This window comes from Homo sapiens, chromosome 17, assembly GCF_000001405.40.
Source record: "Homo sapiens chromosome 17, GRCh38.p14 Primary Assembly".
Classification (NCBI taxonomy): Eukaryota; Metazoa; Chordata; class Mammalia; order Primates; family Hominidae; genus Homo; species Homo sapiens.
This window is the reverse complement of record NC_000017.11, coordinates 76,440,411-76,452,724: the sequence shown is the minus strand read 5'-3', so window position 1 is coordinate 76,452,724 and position 12,314 is coordinate 76,440,411. Positions and strand designations below refer to the sequence as shown.

Below are 12,314 nucleotides of genomic sequence, written 5' to 3'. Positions count from 1 at the left end.
GTGCGGCGGGCGGGGGCTGGGCGGCGCGGGCGGCAGGGGGTCGGCGGCCGGGCCGAGGCCAGGGAAGGACGGCGTGCAGGGCCCTGCCCGGAGCGGTGCCACTGCAGTGGCCGACGCGGGAGGACAGCCCCAGTGGAGGGTACACTCCATGCAAAGTCATTGCAGCAGCTCTGGGCGCACACGCCAGCCAGGCACTGCTGGCCCGGGACCGGGCGGGCCCTGGGCTTCCCGACTTGAGGGGACTTCTAAGACATGTTATGCTGTGGTGTCGGCCTCGAGATTTAGAGACGTGGACCGACTCCCGTGGGGACTCAGGTTCTGGGGCGCGTTCGGCGTTACACCAGTGCGGCGTTTTGCTGACCCCCAAGGAGCTCGGTACTGCATTGTGCATCCAGAAATGAAGGCCGTGCCGGGTCCGTGCAGGGAGGGGTTGTGGGCATTCCAAAACAAAGATAGAGGTGAAAATCCCAGCCGAACCCAAGAAGTTCACTAGCTTACAGGCTGCATTATGGTGAAGCCACCCAGCCTCTTTTTGTTTTACCCTGCTGCCTCCTTTTAATTGCTGCAGGGAACTTTGTGAGTAAAATCATTAGCAATCAGAGCCCCGGTATGAATAGTACTTGGGGGGGAGGATTCTGACAGCTGCGACCGGGATTGATGACTCCTAAGTGCATATGGACTCCTTGAAAAAAATAATCCAGAACCCTGGGTAGAGGGGAGTCACCAATTTGGAAACCCGAAGGTTTTTTCTTGACCTGAAGCTGTTAAGCAGACATCTGACTCCCGTATGGTTTTTGGGGTGATGCTAGTGAGTATAGCAGTTTTACAAAACAAAGAGGCTTGTCATCATAAACCCGAAACCTTGAACCCGGGTTGGTTTGGTGGCTTGTTTTCCAGAATGTGAATTCCTATCAGTAATTGACACACACACACACACACACACACCCCCCTGTATCTCACACCCCTTCTTTCTCTCCTACTTCCCCTCCCCTTCAAGAAAACATTTCTAAGCAGGAATCAGGCCTACGCTGTTTTAGGTCCTTGGGAGGTTGAGAGGTCTGATTTCAGGGGAGGGCACTTTGGAAGTTGATCTGGGTTTCTCACACAGTGGGAGACAAAGACTACAGAGGAACGGGGTTTCATGTCAAACTACAAAGCGGGGTCTGTGACAACGGCTTGAGAAGGAAAAAGGCCCCACTCCAGAGAAGAGCACATGATCCATTTCCTAGAGGCAGAAGTGACTGCTGATACCAGCGGGGTCTTTTTGTTGGGGATGCACATACATCCACAGACACAAATCCACACACAGGACCCTGCTTCCCCTCAGAGAAATGTGAATCAGGCAACAGCTCTGAGACTTGGAAGGAAAATTATCAGTCCATTTACAAGAGTATTTGGAAAATATTACTTTTGTGCAACAGAATGCTTGTTAAAAATTACCCAGTATTGTGTCAGTAAAAGAGGGTTATTGCTGTATACTGTGTGACACCAGATGATTGCTGGTGTCTTTCTGTGAGTTTTTAAGAATGTTTTTCACCACCCATCTATTTGAGAGATTCGTGATTTTTGGAACGCAACTCATTTGACTGCAGCATCCTCTGTGTTGTGGCCTCCTGCCCTAGGACTCAGGGAGGTAGGCCCAGCTCACTACTGGGAGCCGCTATGTTTATCAGTTGTTGTTCCCGTCCGTCTTGACTTTGGTGGTTAACTTTGTTTGCAGTTATGCTCCGTTTGCCTCCTGCACTATGTGTAATTATACAGAGTTTGACTTGAAATACCTATTTTGGAGTTAAATCGAAAACAACGGCCGGGTGTGGTAGCTCATGCCTGTAATCCCAGCACTTGGGAGGCCGAGGCGGGCGGATCACCTGAGGTCAGGAGTTCGAGACCAGCCTGACCAACATGGAGAAACCCTGTCTCTACTAAAAATACAAAATTAGCTGGGCTTGGTGGCGCATGCCTGTAACCTGAGCTACTCGGGAGGCTGAGGCGGGAGAATTGCTTGAACCAGGGAGGCGGAGGTTGCGGTGAGCTGAGATGGCACCATTGCACTCCAACCTGGGCAGCAAGAGTTAAACTCTGTCTCAAAAGAAAAGAAAAAAAAAACAACAACTTTGAGGCACCACTTTGGATAGATTTTGCAGCTGGCCTCCTGTGACTTGCTTTGAATTTGTTGAAATCCGTTTTGTGGCTCGGTGGTGGTATTTTGTCATTGTAGCATCTGGGTTTAGCAAAAGCCAAGGGACGCAGAAATTCCAAGGAAGTGGTGGAATGGGATGCCCATTTATGGGTGGCAAGATATAGTTCTTTTAGGATTTAGAATAGGTTTGTTTTGGAGGGTGGAGTTTATACCTGATAGGTAGCTCTGTTACCATGAGCTATAGATACAGGTGACTGATTAGCTGAATGTCTCCTGGTCTGTTACTGACCACCAAGCAGGGTGGTAGGGTGGGTCCTGGGACCTTGCAGAACTGTGGCTTAGGATGATTTTTCTTCTCACCTCCTGCTCCTTATGAATTCCATCAAGGTGATAGTATGCCGTAAAGGAAAGACCATTAGACCAAGATTGACTAATCTAGTTATGAGATTTGAGAACCCAATTATTGACAAAATAATGTAGTGGCAGATTTTTTTTTTTTTTTGAGTTACTGGTTTGTTTATTATTTTTGGGATGGGGTCTCACTGTTACTCAGGTGTCCTTGAATTCCTGGTCTCACACAATCCTCCTGCCTCAGCCTCCCAGGTAGCTGGGACTACAGTAGTGATGGTTTTGAGAAACTTATTTTTTATTTATTTATGTTTTTGAGACGGAGTTTTGCTCTTGTTGCCCAGGCTGGAGTGCAATGGCGCCAGCTCGGCTCACCGCAACCTCTGCCTCCCGGGTTCAAGCGATTCTCCTACCTCAGCCTCCCGAGTAGCTGGGATTACAGGCATACGCCATCACGCCCGGCTAATTTTTTGTATTTTTAGTGGAGACGGGGTTTCTCCGTGGTGGCCAGGCTGTTCTTGAACTCCTGACCTCAGGTGATCCGCCCGCCTCGGCCTCCCAAAGTGCTGGGATTACAGGCAGGAGCCACCGCACCCGCCCGAAACTTATTTTTTTTAATAAGCTGCTACCTATTGAAAATTTTTGTGTGTGAGTTTCTTTTTTAAACAGAGTCTCTCTCTGTCACCCAGGCTGGAGTGCAGTGGCACGATCTCAGCTCATTACAACCTCAACTTCCCGGGTTCAAGTGATTCTTGTGCCTCAGCCTCCCGCATAGCTGGGATTATGGGCATGCGCCATCACACCCAGCTAATTTTTGTATTTTTAGTAGAGACGGCAGTTTGCCATTTTGGCCAGGCTGGTCTTGAACTTCTGGCCTCAAGTGATTCACCGGCCTTGGCCTCCCCAAGTGCTGGAATTACAGGCATAAGCCACAGTGCCTTGCCCCATTGAAATTTTTTAGTAGTATCTATTTAATGTGGAGTGTTTCATAGGGTGTGGCGTATTTTTGTAGTTTTCTCTGTAAATTGGAGGGCAATGAGTAAAGGCTTAATCTTAGTCTCAAGTTTTTAGTGAACAAATTTACAAAGAGAGATGAAGAGACTGGGCAGCAAGTCATGTCCTTTCCCTGCTGCCTTCATGAAAATAGCAACAGAAACAAAGTAAGTTCTTCCATGAAGCTATGGAATTTGTCGTGTTCCTGAGGCTTCCAGCCACCAAAATTAAGCCTCTTAAGGACTCAAAAGGAGCTAGTGGCCAGTGTCTCTTATATGCTTCTTCCTTTCTCCAGTCTTCTGACCTGTTCAGCGAGGTAGCCACTTGAAACTGTCCATCTGGCCATGGATCTCCTTAGAGGAGGCTTGCCCCTTCCCCATCACCAGTCATCCTTTGAATAAAATTTTGTAACAAAGCCAAATGCCAGCAGCCACTTAAACCTTCATGAGCACTGGCTAGACGTGGTGGGTCCTTCTGGTCTCCACCTGTCATGGTTGGGCAGAACAGCCCCCTGCGAGGTAAGGGAGCAGGACTGCTGTCTGTCAGTTCAAGTTCAGCCTTCGTTTCGGAGGCAAAGCGTTTATGCTTTAGCTTTCTTGTGCTTTTTCATCTCTTTTGCATTGTCTTTTGTTTTAAGTTGCCATGACATTCAGGGTTTCACCAGGTTTGAGATATAGTGCCTCTAAATTAGGGCTGTCTGTGATCACCCTGCTTTTATGAAGCTGTGTGTGTGAAACATCCCTGATGACAGGTCCCTCGGGAATTGGCTTTGCAGTTTATTTTTGGCTCCTACGCTGGCCAGCATTTCCATGGGGAAAGCTATTTAGGTGTAGCATCATGGCACGTGAAGTTTGTCTCACTTGTCTGGGTGCTGGGCCCATTAAAAGCAATTGTTCTTAGTGATGTAATGTGAAGAAGTTATATAAGGTTAACCAAGATGCAGGACTAAGTGAATCTAAATTGCGTTTTATTCAGATAGGATCACAGCACTTGTAGACTCTTAACAGCTGTTCTGTGATTTTATTCTTTGTCCCTTGATTTTTCCCCTTCTAGCCCTCGGGCCTCAGTGCCCTGATGGTGCTTCTGTCTGGCTGCTGCCTGACTCAAGGGTACTTTCCCCAGATGAAGGGTGTGTGTTTTGTACTGTGATTGGAAGCCAAAACCCTTGGGTGCTCTTCCTGGCTGTCACCTACTCTGAATGACCTTGACCAAGTCACTGCCTCATTTTCTCCCTCTGCAATGAAATAAGAGGTCTATCTTCCTAACCCCGATATGATCCTGCTCGGATGGAATAACCAGAAGTGTAGCTGGGTCAAGCCTAGGATGGCCACTTGGTTATTAGCAGACAGCATTCTGATGTCTGTCAGAGAGAGCCAGCCCTGTGCCTTCAGAAGATCACTTCCATGAGAAAGAGGGTGATGCTGCACCAAAGAGGCACCTTGGGAAGCAAAAGGTGCACGAGGCGGGTTGTGGGGAAGGTGGTTGTTTCAGGGGCATAGGAATTCCTAATGGCTCGTGTTGCTAGTGACCAGATGGATTATAGGTTTGACTTTATTAAACCTCTTCTAGAAATACTCATGAACTTCCTACCTCTGTTACTTTGTGAGAAATTCAGTAATGCACATTTAAAGTAACCCCGGCCGTCCTCCAGGAGGGGGATGGAATGAATCTGTATGTATGTATGTATGTTTCCAGAGTCTGAAAGGTCTCTTGAAATTCTCAAGACTGGTAATGAGATTATAAATTACAAAGATGATAGAGTATTGCTTTATATTTTAAGGTAATAAGAGCAGTCATGATCCAGGATACTGTTACTGTGTGCCAGGCACTCTTAGTGCTTTAGATGTTTTACTTCACGCTCACAACAACCCTGTGGTGCTATTATTAGCCCCATATTCCAGAGAAGGAAGCTGAGGAACAGAGAGGTTAAGTAAATTGCCCAGTGTCACACTTCTAAGTGGAGGAATCTGAATACAAATTGAACTAAATGTACTTTGTTCTCACCTGAGAATACTTAAGTTCAGGATTCAGAGATCATTACTATACGTGACCGAGTGCCCTGATCCAACATGAATCACAAGCCTTGTGGTTGGCATTAATCATCCCTTCTTTAAACAGTTGAAAGTCTTAGTGTAATAGGAGGTACTACAAGTGAGGAAGGAGAGAGGCACAGGATGTTGGGATAGGTGGAAGTTGTGCCAGTGGGCAGGCAGGAGGGAGGGAGATGATGGGTAGGGAGCAGGACGGGAGGAACACTGCATTCGCACTGGCGGTGTGCTTCTGCAGATTCCACTCTTTTCATTCCCTGACCCCTCAGTCATTCTCAAAATAACTGTCAAAAACACATTGCATTTCTAGAGAACCTTTGACTGCCCCTCAATGTTGAATGAAGCAACCTCTGTAGTCTGATTCATTCCAACACTGAACTGCAGTTCAGTTTTATTCCCCAACTCCACCTCCTAGAGCAAAACAAGTGTGCAGACACTCCACGTAACTGGCATTTCTGTGTTGCCTCAGAAGTGGTCAGCTCCATTAGGAGCTCCAACTTGACCTCCTGTCCGCTCTGCTGCTGTCATCCTTCGGCTGGGAATGCTGAGTCATGAGACAGGTTCAGGAAGGATTCCTTGGAGAGGCTGAGTTCCACCTCAATTTCAGTTTCTGTTCCCTTCAGTTTCCGTGTGTTTTTGCTTTAGGACATTAGAGGCCTCTTTGCACCTTCCCCATCTCTACTTCACTTTTATCCCTGTTTCTCTCTGTTTTGTTTGTTTGGTTTTTTTTTTTGTTTGTTTTTGTTTTTTCATTTTCCTGTTATACTAAGAGGAACTTTTTCTATTTTTTACTACTTAACCCACCATGGGGGCTCATGGAATCCAGTGGAACCTGTTGGGGGCCAGCACTTTTTAAAAGGGTGCAATTGTCGTGTATAACATGAATTGCCAGCACAACAGTCCTGGGCACGTGATCAGTGTCAGCTGCCGCTGGTGGTCGGTCCCCTCAGAGTTGGAGTCAGGGTGGTTTTCTGTGACATGTGGGTTTTCACCCAGGAGGATATGATCTGTGCTCCTATTCTGATGGAAGCTTTTGGAATTTCCTTGCCCAAGGCTTAGCCTGCTTCTGGATGGCGATGGGGAGTTGCTGATTTAAAATGACAATCAAAAGGGGCAAGTTACAATCAGGAACGTCTATAATGTGCTTTCCAGTTTACAAGAGGCTATCACTTTTCTCACTTAATAGGATCTCGGTATTTTTAACTGTAGCTCCTTCCTGAGGCTCCACTTGCCCATGAATGGGTGCCAGTCCTGGAGAAGGTCATGGTCTAAATGCTGCCCATCCACATTTGCAGCTCTTACTGAGCAAGAGTGCCCGTTCGGAATTGCTTCATCTTCTGACATTCCAGCCAGCCACGGGGGGACTCTGTCAGGAGCCACTTGATGTGTGCAGTTATAGCCAGGGAAGAGCAAAATGCTTATTGGAATTTGCTGTAGTTGAGAATAAAATTGAATTGTGTTACTGGATAACTCTCTGGATTTATCTACTCCAAGTTATTTGCCTTTGTTTCATTCGTTAGCTATACTCTGTGATTGAGGATTTAATGTCCTTCAATCCAGGCTGACTGTATTGGATGGATCCTTGGGTCAGCTTTGTCCAGGTCACCCCTAGACACAGGTAGGCTGTGTTCTCCTGAAGCAGTATTGTGAAAAGCACATTTTTATGGTTTAAACATTGCAGTCAGTTGACATACCACTCAGAAGTATTCAGTGGGCAATAAGGATTGGAATGAATGTCCTTTTTGGGTTTAATCTGGTTCTTTGGTTGGGGGATTTTGAGTTGGTTTGCATTTTTAGAGAGGCCACAGCAATATTTAATATTCTGCAGCTAAGTCAAAGGAGTAAGACATTTTTCAGGTCACTTTTGGTTTAAATTGATAGCATAACTATACCTGGGAAACAGTCTGACTATGATAATTGAAAGTAAAAAAAAAAATTAAAACACTGAGTCATGCTTGGAAAAAGAAAAAAAAAAAGGCAGTCAGTCCTACCCAACAATGACATGAATATTCCCAGCTAGCACTGACAGAGAGATTTCCTGCAGGCACCCTTAAAAAGAGAGGCCTTCATTTGCATCCTGCAAGAGAGCTGGTCTTTTCACACTCAGCAGCTCCGATGATGTTCTTCCTCCTCCTTTTAATTCTGGTCCTTTTTGTGGGAGCTCCCTCTGGAAGAGGGCAGTTGAAGATAGATACCTTGACCGGCAGATTCAGCGGACTGTGTGTGTGGTCACCGGACTGTGTGTGTGGTCACCGCTAGTGCAGGTGGGAAGTGTAGACACACAAATACGTCTCCAGGGATTCTGGGAGCCTCAGGGCTTGACATATGCAGTGCTGAAAGCATCCCGGTATTCATGTGCTCTGACTGTTTTATTATTTAAGGGATTCTGAGGGCCCTGAAGGTTGATGACATCATCTTCAAGCCAAGGAAGAAAGCATTTCTCTGGTCCCCCAGTGTGCTTTTGGGTCATCCCAGCACTGTACTGGGGGAAATGGATGTCTGCCTCCATTTCCTCATGACCTGCTCTCGCCTTCAGTCATTTTCTGTCTAACCTCTCACACCACTGAGTGTGACGGCTCCCCTGAAGGTCACAAATGACTAGTGAATTTCTGATCACTGCATTTGCTGACATTTTCTCAGTCCTTGTCCTCATTTTGATCCATCAGCCTTATGCTCTGTCACCCAGGCTGGAATGCAGTGGCGTGATCACACCTTACTGCAGCCTCCGCCTCCTGGGCTCAAGCAGTGCTCCCACCTCAGCCTCCTGTGCAGCTGGAACTACACACTCGGCTTTTTAAAATATTTTTGTAGAAACAGGGTCTCACCATGGTATTGGCCAGGCTGGTCTCGAACTCCTGACCCCAAGTGATCCTCCCACTTCAGCTTCCCAAAGTGTTGGGATTACAGACGTGAGCCACGGTGCCTAGCTGACCACACCCTCTTTGTTTTGTTTTGTTTTGTTTTGCTTTGTTTGTGAGATGGAGTCTCAGTCTGTCGCCCAGGCTGGAGTGCAGTGGTGCAACCTTGGCTCACTGCAACCTCTGCCTTCTGGGTTCTAGCGATTCTCCTGCCTCAGCCTCCCAAGTAGCTGGGATTACAGGCTCCCGCCACCACGTCCGAGTAATATTTGTCTTTTTAGCAGAGACGGGGTTTCACCATATTGGTCAGGCTGGTCTCGAACTCTTGACCTCAGGTGATCCATCCGCCTCAGCTTCCCAAAGTGCTGGGATTACAGGCATGAGCTACCGCGCCTGGCCGACCATGCCCTCTTAACGGTATTTCCTTCCTTGGGGTTCTATTATACCAGACTATACCAAATGTTTCTCTTTTTTGCCTTTTGTCTTCTTCCTCTTACCCATAGATGTGCAGCTTTTCCAAAGACCTCTCTTTTCTTTATCTCTTCCTCCCCAGTTTTTTGGAGTGACCTCCCTGCTTGTAGCTGCATCTGGTACCTGTATTTAGGTGACTTCCACAGTGACATCACATGCCCAGCTGCTTACTTGATAGCTCCATTGTGCCATGTAGACTTTGTGGGTATAAAATCTTGTGATTGTGACTGCCCTTCCCATCCCCAAGTCTGTGGACTTAAAAAAAAAAAAAATGTTCTGACTGGGCACAGTGGCTCACGCCTGTAATCCCAGCATTTTGGGAGGCCGAGGTGGGTGGATCACTTGAGGTCAGGAGTTCGAGACCAGCCTGGCCAACATGGTGAAACCCCATCTCTACTAAAAATGCAAAAATTAGCCATGCGTGGTGGTGGGTGCCTGTGATCCCAGCTACTCGGGAGGCTAGGGCAGGAGAATTGCTTGAACCCAGGAGGCAGAGGTTGCAGTGAGCCGAGATCGTGCCCCGGCACTCCAGCCTGGGCGACAGAGTGAGACTCTTTCTCGAGGAAAAAAATATATATATATATTCCCCAACTTTTTTTGTTTTTGGTTCTGAACCCAAGACCCAACTTTTTAATAGGAAAAAATATTGACCATACCAAAATGTTGAAAGCCAGTAATTGCTAACCCCCAACCATTATGAGTCAGCAGTTGTTAACATCCTGCCATATTTGCCTTATCTGTATGCTTATGTAAATATATTTCCTCCTGAATTATGTCTGGTACTAACTCCTGCTAAGTTAGTGGCAGACATGATAGCACTTCACCCCTAAATACCTAAGCTTGAATCTTCTCAAAATTAGAGCATTTGGGGTCATTTTTAATTTACCTTCTTTGGCCCTCATTCTAACTTGTCATCAGTTCTTTGAGAGGCCTCTTGCATCCTGTGCCTGCATTTCCCTTTCACAACCCTGGTTTGCTCTCTGCTTGCCTCATGCCTGCACTGTGTAGCCTTCTCCCTGGTCTCCCTGCCTCTAGTCCTCCTTCAACCAGTGAACAGCGCTGCCGCCAACTGACCTCCAAAGGGCTGACCTCCCAAGTGATCGCCTGGATTGTGTCAGGACCCAGCCTCTGATCATGCCTTGGTTGTCATTCAGGGCCCCTCACCTACACATCCTGCTCTATCTCCTGCCTCTTCAGTTGATTCCAGCCAATCTGACTGCTTTTCCCCAACTCAATTGTGCCGTTCCCTTCCTCTCATGCCCCATGGCACACCCACATTCTCTCCTGGATGGGAAGCTCCTTGAGAAACAGAGACAGCAAATCCTAAAGCTTGTGTGCTATCACGCACATGCAGACTCTTGGGAAACATCTTCATGAATGACCAGTTTGCTCCCTCCCACTTACTACAAATAGTATTCTTAGTCTTCTTCCAGATGCCCTGTGGTCTGTGCTGGAGCTGTATGGGCCCCTTACTAGACCACTCTGTCTCCCACCCCCCGTACTAGGTGTGTTGACCATGTACAGTAATTTATTGCCCAAGTTGGGTTCTTTTGAGAGTACTATGAATAATTACTCCAGGACTGGGACGTATGGGCATCCTAATACTAGGAAGAGCAGATTAATCAGAATACACCATATTGTAGTTACTACTTTGGCAACTTCCGTCGCGGGCTCCCCAGGCAGACTACGTGCATTGTGGACTAGGCTAGAGCTAGCTAGAGCTGGTGTCACCTGTGGTCGAAATGAAGCTGCTTCTGGCTGCATTTCCCCTGTAAGAACCCCGCCTAAAGCACTTGACAAATGGCAGATTCCACACACGTGGGTTTCCTGAATGGTTATCAGCACCCAGTCCTCACCTTAGGAGGATGGCTAAGTACGAACGAGGCTCTCTATTGGAAAAAGAATGCCCCACCCGACTGCAAATGAATCAGGAACGCAGCTTAGGCTATGCACTCTGCCTGCACCAAGACCCTTGGGGGCGGGGCCTGGAGTTGCAGTGGCTATGCCAGGCCTATTACTTTGAAGGAGTCAGGAACCATCTATTGAAAGTAGATATAACCACCCCTGTTTATCAGTGGAGGGGGAGGGGGAAGTGAAGAGAGCATGAATAAATGGATTCTAATCCAGCACTTTTCCAAGGTGAATGCCACATGCCATCACCTAGGGTCTCCTAATGCAAATTGTCCTAATTCCATTGGGCTGAAGAATCTGCGTGTCTAACAAACTCCCAGTGACATTGATGCTGCTGGCTGGGACTGTCTTTTGAATTGCACTTATATGGGCCCTTCCAAACCTCGTTGATGTCAATGGGTTCAGTTTTAGTACGTCTTTGGTTCGAGGCTTTTTCTCTCCCCTCTGCTTATTCTTCTAGTGCCAGTGTTAATGAACCGGGAATTGTCCAAAGGTGGGCTGCAGGAGGGGCAGGAAAGGGATGAGGCGGACTCATCATCCGCCAGTGCTTTAGTGTTAGAAAGGCTTGCCTCTTTCTTCCTCCCCATTGCTTGCTGGTGGTTATTATTAATGCACTGCTGTTGCTAAGAAGTTTCATTTGATTTCATTTCATTTTAGGATGTAAATATGGTAGTTGTTTTGAGTATAACACACCCAATCCAAGAGGAGAATGATTATTCAGCATTTTAATGAAATTGCTGTCTTTTATCCAGCCAGTGTCAATGGATTCCTGCTGTGAGCCAGGCATGTTAACTCACACTTTACCTGTGTCATCTCACTTCCCTTAAAGTGGCCAGTGCCCCATTTTAGAAAAGGAAAGACTGAAACCCAGAGAAAGCTTATAACTCACCAAGGCCACATAGCAAGTGGGAGGCCAACCCAAATTCAAACTTAGGCCAGTTTGTGCTGCCCGAATGCAGGTTCTCTTCACTGACTACACGGGTGCCCCCTGCACTGTGCTGGGTGCTGTGGGGAGAGAGATACCCCCACACAGGCCCTGCCCTCTAGATAAGGGGCCAGCCAAACTTTCTGTAAAGGGCCAGATGATAAATGTCCTAGTGTTGCAGGCTATACTGTCTCCTTCACAACAACTCAGCTTTGCCATTATAGCACAAAAGCATTCAGAGGCAGTAAGCAAATGAATGGGCATGGTCATGTTCCAATAAAATTTTAAGAAACAGGCAGTAGGCTGGACATGACCTGCAGGCTGTAGTTTTCCCACCTCTGCTCTGGAAGGATCCTGAAAAATAGAGATACAATGTGAGCCACAGCTGAAAAAAGTAAATAGAGGCCAGGCATGGTGGCTCATGGCTATAATCCCAACACTTTGGGAGGCCAAGCCAGGCGGATCACTTGAGGCCAGGAGTTCGAGACCAGCCTGGGCAACATGATGAAACCCCATCTCTTCAAAAAGTACAGAAATCATCTTAGCGTGGCAGCTTACGCCTGTAGTCCCAACTACTCAGTAGGCTGAGGTGAGAGGATCGCTTGAGTCCTGGCGGTCGA

At 47.3% G+C, this 12,314-nt stretch overlaps 1 protein-coding gene across 8 annotated transcripts in view, besides 4 other annotated features; it reads left to right on the top strand.

Annotated features, from left to right (window-relative positions):
• Nucleotides 1-12,314, top strand: part of UBE2O (ubiquitin conjugating enzyme E2 O) — a 63,697-nt gene that overhangs the window by 428 nt on the left and 50,955 nt on the right. The window lies entirely within an intron of this gene.
• Nucleotides 22-221: a silencer, noted in NCBI's record as "silent region_9016". NCBI's record gives its function as "represses an Ori minimal core promoter by ATAC-STARR-seq in GM12878 lymphoblastoid cells {active_cell/tissue: GM12878}" and the evidence as "EXISTENCE:reporter gene assay evidence [ECO:0000049][PMID:35858748]".
• Nucleotides 7,779-7,938: an enhancer, noted in NCBI's record as "active region_12807". NCBI's record gives its function as "activates an Ori minimal core promoter by ATAC-STARR-seq in GM12878 lymphoblastoid cells {active_cell/tissue: GM12878}" and the evidence as "EXISTENCE:reporter gene assay evidence [ECO:0000049][PMID:35858748]".
• Nucleotides 9,613-9,732: an enhancer, noted in NCBI's record as "active region_12806". NCBI's record gives its function as "activates an Ori minimal core promoter by ATAC-STARR-seq in GM12878 lymphoblastoid cells {active_cell/tissue: GM12878}" and the evidence as "EXISTENCE:reporter gene assay evidence [ECO:0000049][PMID:35858748]".
• Nucleotides 11,157-11,674: an enhancer, noted in NCBI's record as "H3K4me1 hESC enhancer chr17:74437133-74437650 (GRCh37/hg19 assembly coordinates)". NCBI's record gives its function as "activates a minimal SCP1, AML or CMV promoter by ChIP-STARR-seq in naive H9 embryonic stem cells {active_cell/tissue: H9 hESC(naive)}" and the evidence as "EXISTENCE:reporter gene assay evidence [ECO:0000049][PMID:30033119]".